Source organism: Homo sapiens, chromosome 9, assembly GCF_000001405.40.
Source record: "Homo sapiens chromosome 9, GRCh38.p14 Primary Assembly".
Taxonomy (NCBI): domain Eukaryota; kingdom Metazoa; phylum Chordata; class Mammalia; order Primates; family Hominidae; genus Homo; species Homo sapiens.
The window spans coordinates 68,649,234-68,656,775 of NC_000009.12; the positions used below are offsets into that span (position 1 = coordinate 68,649,234).

Sequence of the window (7,542 nt, forward strand, 5' to 3'; positions counted from 1 at the left end):
AGCAGCTGTGTGTGCTGATGGGTAGCCTGCATTTCAGTTTCTGTCTCAGCAGCTCAAATAGCTCAGCCCAAAAAGCACTAGTCCTCGAAATACAAAGAGCATGAAGAAAGCAGGATGGCATCTCCAGCTCCACTTTATCCCTACTGATGATTTGGAAGGTGAGATGATTTCTTCTGTGATCGTAGCCATCCACCCTCCTGTGAAACCCTTTCCAATCATAAAATCTGCGTATCTCCCAGCTGTGTCCCACCAAGATGCTTGTGTTGTTTTACCTTTTCATCCTCATTTTCTTCCTAAAATGGCTTGGGGAAATTGTTTTATTCCTAAAATATGATTGTGCCTGTTTTCATAATTGATTTTGAAATCTGTTTTGGATGTAAGGTTAAGGGCCAAAATAAAGACTGGTAAGGTTTAACTATCATTTCATCCATTCAACAAATCTTTAGGATAGATAATAGAGAGACACAAAGAAAGAAAAATGTCCTCATTCTTTTTTTTTTTTTTTTTTTTTTAAACAGAGTTTTGCTCTTGTTGCCCAGGCTGGAGTGCAATGGCACAATCTCGACTCACCACAACTTCTGCCTCCCAGATTCAAGCAGTTCTCTTGCCTCAGCCTCCTGAATAGCTGGGATTACAGGTGCCTGCCACCATGCCTGGCTAATTTTGTATTTTTAGTAGAAACAGGGTTTTTCCATGTTGGTCAGGCTGGTCTCAAACTCCCAATCTCAGATGATCTGTCCCCTTCGGCCTCCCAAAGTGCTGGGATTACAGGCATGAGCCACCGCGCCCAGCTGAAAAATGTCCTCATCATTCTTGTTAAGGAAATTTTCTGAAGCCTCACTCTCCTCACCTAAAAACTGAAGGTAATTATAATAACCCCTATCTTTTGCAGTTACTGTTGTAGTTAAAGAAGGTAAAACTATTAAGTTTTTAGCAGAGTATCCAGTGCATTGTAAATACTCGATACAAGCTGGTTGTTACTAAATTAGGTAGAAAGATGATAATACTGGTGTTTCAATAGATAGGCAAAAAGTATTGTTTTATCACAGTTTTGAATAAGGAAGTTCTTACAGAGGAAAGTGTAAAATTTTATTACATTTCCCATTGCCAACATTACTATCCAAATATTTACTTACATTAATCACAGGCCTCTGCTTAAGGTGAATTGCGTATTGCCTATAAGCTAGTATAAGGTGTATTTTTACAGTAATTCTATCTACCACATGTATGATGACCACTGCTACTAAGTAATAATAACTACAATATTCCTCCAGCCCTTGCCATGTACTATGCTCTATTCCTAAATGCTTTACAAGTATGATCTCATTTAACCCTCAAGACCACTCTAGGAAATAAACACTACTTTTCATGGTCCTTTTACATATGAGGAAACAGATACCCAGAGAGTTTAAATGACAAGGAAAACTTCATGAAGGCCAGGCACGGTGACTCACGCCTGTAATCCCAGCACTTTGGGAGGCCGAGGCAGGTGGATTACCTGAGGTCAGAAGTTCAAGAGCAGCCTGGCCAACATATAGTGAAATCCTGTCTCTACTGAAAAATACAAAAATTAGCTGGGTGTGGTGATGCACACCTGTAGTCCCAGCTACTTGGGAAGCTGAGGCAGGAGAATTGCTTGAACCTGGGAGGCAGAGGTTGCAGTGAGCTGAGATCTCACCATTGCACTCCAGCCTGGGCAACAGAGCAAGACTCTGTCTCTCAAAGGAGGAGAAAAAGAAAACTTCATGCAGCTCTTACTACAAACATGTGGGTATACTTTTCAGATATGTGCATGTGAATCTGTCGGGGGAAAATTATCAGGCATGTAAGTGTTTCTAGGTCTTACACCAAAGAGGATGCTGGCCCCACTGTCCCATTTCTTCTCCTTTCCCCATCTAAGGAAGGTCCCAGTTTGCCAGATGGTCTACCATGTTGGACTTTTATGCTGCAAAATTATTAAGAAAGATGGAGGGATGAGAACTGAAGCTACCATGATAATCCCTCTTGCCTCTGATGGTTGCTATTATGGAGTGAGAAGTGTATCCCCATTGTAGTAGGATTCTTATCTACAAAATGGGAGCTACACTATTTGAATTTCATGTGAGGCCCTCAGTACACTTTATCTGTGTTGATCCCATTATGCCACAGCTTTCTCTTTACCTCACTGTCTCCATTTGTGAAATATGATTAAGAATGTGGCGTACCCCACAGGACTGTTGTGAGGAATGACTCATGGTTATGAAGGAGTTTGTACAATGCAACATTCTATTTAGGGCTTCAGTATGTTTTTTATGGTTTTCAAGGACTAATTTTCAAAGCAATATGACAAAGTAGATAGAAACCTTTTCAGAAATGTTGGAGAAAGTGATTACTAATGTTAGTCAATAGTCATCATTTCATCACCTAAAAATAGATGCAACTTTGACCTTTGGTCATGCAGCAAATATAATATTTAAGAACCTGAAGAAAAGGAGAGAAACTTGGGTTAGGGCTGTGGGAGGGGTTTGGGGAGTGATGAAAAAAGAAATATGGGGGTTGATGCAATGTATATTGAAAGTGAGTGAAAGATAAAGGAGGAACTCTGAGAGGTACGTATTCGTATGTGTTCTCAATAAATATCTTCAGTTCTTCAATGACTTTTTGGATACCTAATTGGGTTTCTTTGATAGACAGACTGCTTTGAAACTGGACCATATAGATGGACAACTTTTAAACATTACAGGTGCATATTTAAAACACTATAACTTTATCAAAATTCTTCCAATCATATATGCTTATTTGCAATATAATATGCTGGTGACAACAAAATTTGTAAAACTTCATTCTGTGATGTTTCTTACATTACTCAGGGGTCAGAACACCTAGAAATTATAATTTCCTTTACACAAGGCCATGGACTATTGATATATCTAATTCTCTCAGAGAATAATCTTAACAAAGTTGTGAGGTTGGAGAGAGATTAGTGGATTTGAAAACAGGAAACTATCTTGAAGAGATGGAAACACTCAGGGTCATAGACAGGTTTACTTCTGGAAACAAAGACCTATTACAAAAACTCTGTGCACATCTCTGCATCTTCACAGAAAAGTGTACATACAATATCCTTAACAAATCAAGTTTATGAATTTTTCTGTTACTATAAGTTTCCTACTAATTCATTCATTTTTAAACAGACCACAAGCAATTGTGGGTACACAAATATTAAGACAACATTATGGGGACATTTTTTTATAACTGAGAAAATTGTTATTCATTAGCTAAAAGTTTTCTAAAAATTGGGGATAAGCTGCCACTATATTATATTAGTGGTAGAACATTGTGGTTCTGATCATTGAAACTGGCCTGCTGTGATAACAAAATCAGAATCACTGTACTAAAAACAAAGGTAGTTACAAAGAGATCAATTTGGGAGCTGTGTCTGCTAAAGTGGGCTATCGATGTGCCATTAATCATATAAATGTTTTGAGAGGGTCCATCTGATTGTGGAATGTAATTAACCAACATTTTCACTCTGAAGAATCCCTTTAATTATTTTCCCCACAGGAATCAGCATGTTTTTGATGCTATCAACTGTCAATCAGAATGTCTGAGCCACTTGCTAAACCAATATTTTTCTCATGAAAAGCTTAGTGTTTTGACTAGCCCATATAGACTACAATGAGTTTAGATTAAGTTTTTGGAAAAGATGAAAACATAGACTGGATTTCTGCATCTGGTGATACGCCAAATTACATGGCCTAAAAACCCTTTTGGTACAGAGCACATAGAAATTTCAGATACAAAAACATCCTTTTAGATGGATAGTGCTTGCAAAGAAGTAAATAAAAATAAGCAAGGAAAATTTCAATGGCCAAAAATGAAGAGGGAATTGACAACTAGAGTTATAAGTAAATCAGTTGACCTCATGGAAACTTGGTGGGGGAGGGTCTCAGTCATTTACAGTCTTGTGTTTCAACAACCTGAAACCCCTGCAAAACAAAGAGTTGAAAATGAAATCACCGCACGCAACCAAGACACTGGAAAGGGTGTAAATTTTTCCATCCGCACAGGGCAACAATATGGAAACTTCTTGGTTTCAATCTAGGTATTGGTGTGGGGGAAATATCTCCTCTAAGAATTTGTGACCACAGGAATGTCCTCACATAGGTTTGGGTGTTAAGTTTACACAGTTCATATGACTTAAGAAGTCCCAAGCTGAGAAATAAAAATCAAAGTGGTTCTGGTGGGTCATACCCCGTCCTGACAGGTAGGTCGCTGGAGAGACACAGCAGGATGAGATCACCGGGGTTTCCAATGGTCAAACTATCTGTTAGAGACCATAAATAAACTTTCAAAATGAGTAAGACTTAAAGGAAAAAATGAAAATATGTGAAAAGAACAACTATGAAAACTGAACAGGCTGAATTGGAAATTAACTAAAAGGACTTCTAAAAATTTAAATGTAATCTATAAAATTAAAAACCTGGGAAAATGGTAAGTACAAGTAAAATGCAACTGAAAAAAACATGAACCAACTGGAATATAGATCCTAGACACTACTTAGAATGTAGCACTGAGAAATAAAGAGATTAAAAATATTAAAATGAGGATAAAAAACAGTGTTTAAAGAATGAAAAGGTCTAACATACATTTAATAGGACTTTCAGAAGGACAGAATAGAGAGTAGGAAGATGCAGTATTCAAAGCAGGACACTTAGACACATCATAGTATAAGTGCAGAATACCAAAGGCAAAGATAAAGAAACCAGAGAAACTCTGTCACTGAAAATACTGAGAAACAATAACTACACTTTATCTCAATAAGTGCCACTTTTTTAAATGCAAAATATCACTTTGCACTGAAATAAGATATACAAGGCTAATTCCAGATCTGTTCAGAAAATATCTAAAATGAATCTGGGATATTTTGTCATATGAGCAGCAAGGAACTATCAAAGACGATGAAGTCATATCAAAATGACGTGGAAGCCATCCTGAAAAACTCCCGTTGGCCAAAGATGGGACAATTTGAACACAAATAAGAATAATAACTGACATGGGTTAAAATAGATCAAATGCGTAAAACCCATGACTTCATACTGATACTGCACAGAGCCTGTGTGATCACAGTGGAGGATGCCAGGGTACGATGATAGACATATAGAGCAACTATATTGTTTTGAGATCTGGTATAAAAAAAGAAAAATAATGCATAATTTATCCTAACATTACTGTATGAACTGCAACTCAGAGTAAACAAAAATATTTGCGAAATAACTTATACAAGTGTTTAGCTAATAGCTGAAGAAGGAATGATAGAATGTCATCATTTTACATGCCTTAGGAAATAATGGACCTAGACAATGGTCATCCATAGCTGCTAATGTGACAAAAAGAGAGACAATCAGACATTATATACTTCCTTATATCAACACACATCACCAGCTGTGGAGGAGTCTTGCAAAACACAAAACAAAATGAAATATAAACTGAAGGCTCTAGATTAACTATTGGCTTACAGGAAATAAAAAGGCAAGGGAAAAGAGTTAATATCACAGGGATACAACCAGCAAAATCCAGATTGTGGGGAATTTAAAAGAATGAATCAGATTCTTCAACAAAAAGTTTTAAGGAAAAAAATGTGGAAGAGGAATTTATAGATCGAAAGAAATTTAGAAGAACTATGAACTAATTGCAATGAATAGATTGTATTTGGTTCCTAATTCAAAGTGTTAAAAACATACAATACAATCAGATGTAAACACAAGATATTTAACAATATTAAGGTATTATTATTAACTGCAGATACGTCCTTTTTTTGGAGGGCAGCAATCTAGTCTGCAGACACTGTATCCCCTCTGGCACTTCCTGCTGCAGCCAATAAAGGCCGTTCCTACCATAGTTTATTTTATTTTTTTAAAATGTTATTTATTTATTTAAAGACAGAGTCTTGCTCTCTCTCCCAGGATGGAGTACAGTGGCGCAATCTTGGCTCACTGCAATCTCCATCTCCCAGATTCAAGCGATTCTCCTGCCTCAACCTCTTGAGTAGCTGGGACTCCTGGGTAATTTTTGTATTTTTAGTAGAGACAGGGTTTCACCATGTTGGCCAGGCTGGTCTCAAATTCCTGACCTCAGGTGATCCACCCACCCTAGCCTCCCAAAGTACTAAGATTACCGTTGTGAGCCACCATGCCCAGCCCCACAGTTTAAAAAAAAAAAAAATAGGTATATTGATGTATGCTGGTTATGTTGAAATGCACATGTGTACACACAAGGAATTCTTAAAATATCTCGAGCATAATTTGTTGTCTTGTTTAAGACATTAGAATGATTAAAAATAATGTAAAAATATTACATTAGGAATATCATGATAGGAAAATACCATTTAAAGAATATTAAAGTAATCATATACATAGGGCACAAGTTGTAAGACTTAAAGGGGGAAATTCAGACTTAGAAAAATAGTGATATTGCTTCTTTAAGTTATTCTAGGTTGATATGTTAACAGCCAGATATTTCAGTTGTTTTCTTCATCTTTCCTTAAATGCTCATGTCTTGTAAAGAACTTTATCCTTTTAGAATTGTAGGGGTTTTTATGGTCATCAGAAAGCACATCCTCATAATATGCTATTGTTAAGAAATAAAATTTTAAAAAATCTTTCAAACACAGATCTGTAATTAATTCAGGAGTCAAAGAAGAAATTATAATGGAAGTTATAATTATTTAAAATTAAATAATTAATAAAATTTAAAACTCATTGGAACAGTAATATAAGTAAAAGCAGCTGAAAGGAACATCAAGTAATCTAAAGAAAGAAAAAAAAGGGACTACATAATACAAAACAGCACAAATTAGTAAAATTAAAATCAGAAATTTGTTGGAGTGTAAGAGAGCCAAATAAATAACTTCCTTGTTGTCTCTTAAATTCTGAATCCACTGTAACATCAACAGAGTCGCAGATCTGAAGACCAAATTATCACTTTTATTAATGATAAATTATGTTAGAGGGTGTGACTAAGAGTAAGAGCCAAACAGATCTACTAATACTAATACCCTGCCCACCCTCTAGTTTGTAGAACTTGGAACTACATACCAGAGAGATGCAGACACACACACCCAGGATTGTTATCTTGCACTGGACTGGAGGGTGAAAAGAAATCTAATTCTCCATGCTTAGAATTTTTGATGGTTTACATCAACCCAACCAAGAAGTGAGGACCAATGGCTGTCACCTGACAACAGACACTCAAGTTAACCTTCATGCAGAGAGTAAGAAATGGGGAAAGAAATCTGGATTATTTAGGGAAATCAATTCACACATAAATCATAGGAGTGGAAAATAAGTTTTTCTTCCTGTTAAACACAATAGAGAAAGTCAACCAAATCAAATATTTTGTTTAGTAAAACGGATACATTTGGGGGAAAATTTTTAAGAATTAAAAAGACAGTACAAATAGATGAAACAGGGAAGATAAACTAAGATAAAGCAGATATCAAAATAATAAAATCATATGGACTTTATACAAATAAATTTGAGCATTTATACAAAGTGAACAATT

At 36.1% G+C, this 7,542-nt stretch overlaps 1 annotated feature.

The window, feature by feature from the left end:
• Window positions 4,122-4,221: a silencer, noted in NCBI's record as "silent region_19928". NCBI's record gives its function as "represses an Ori minimal core promoter by ATAC-STARR-seq in GM12878 lymphoblastoid cells {active_cell/tissue: GM12878}" and the evidence as "EXISTENCE:reporter gene assay evidence [ECO:0000049][PMID:35858748]".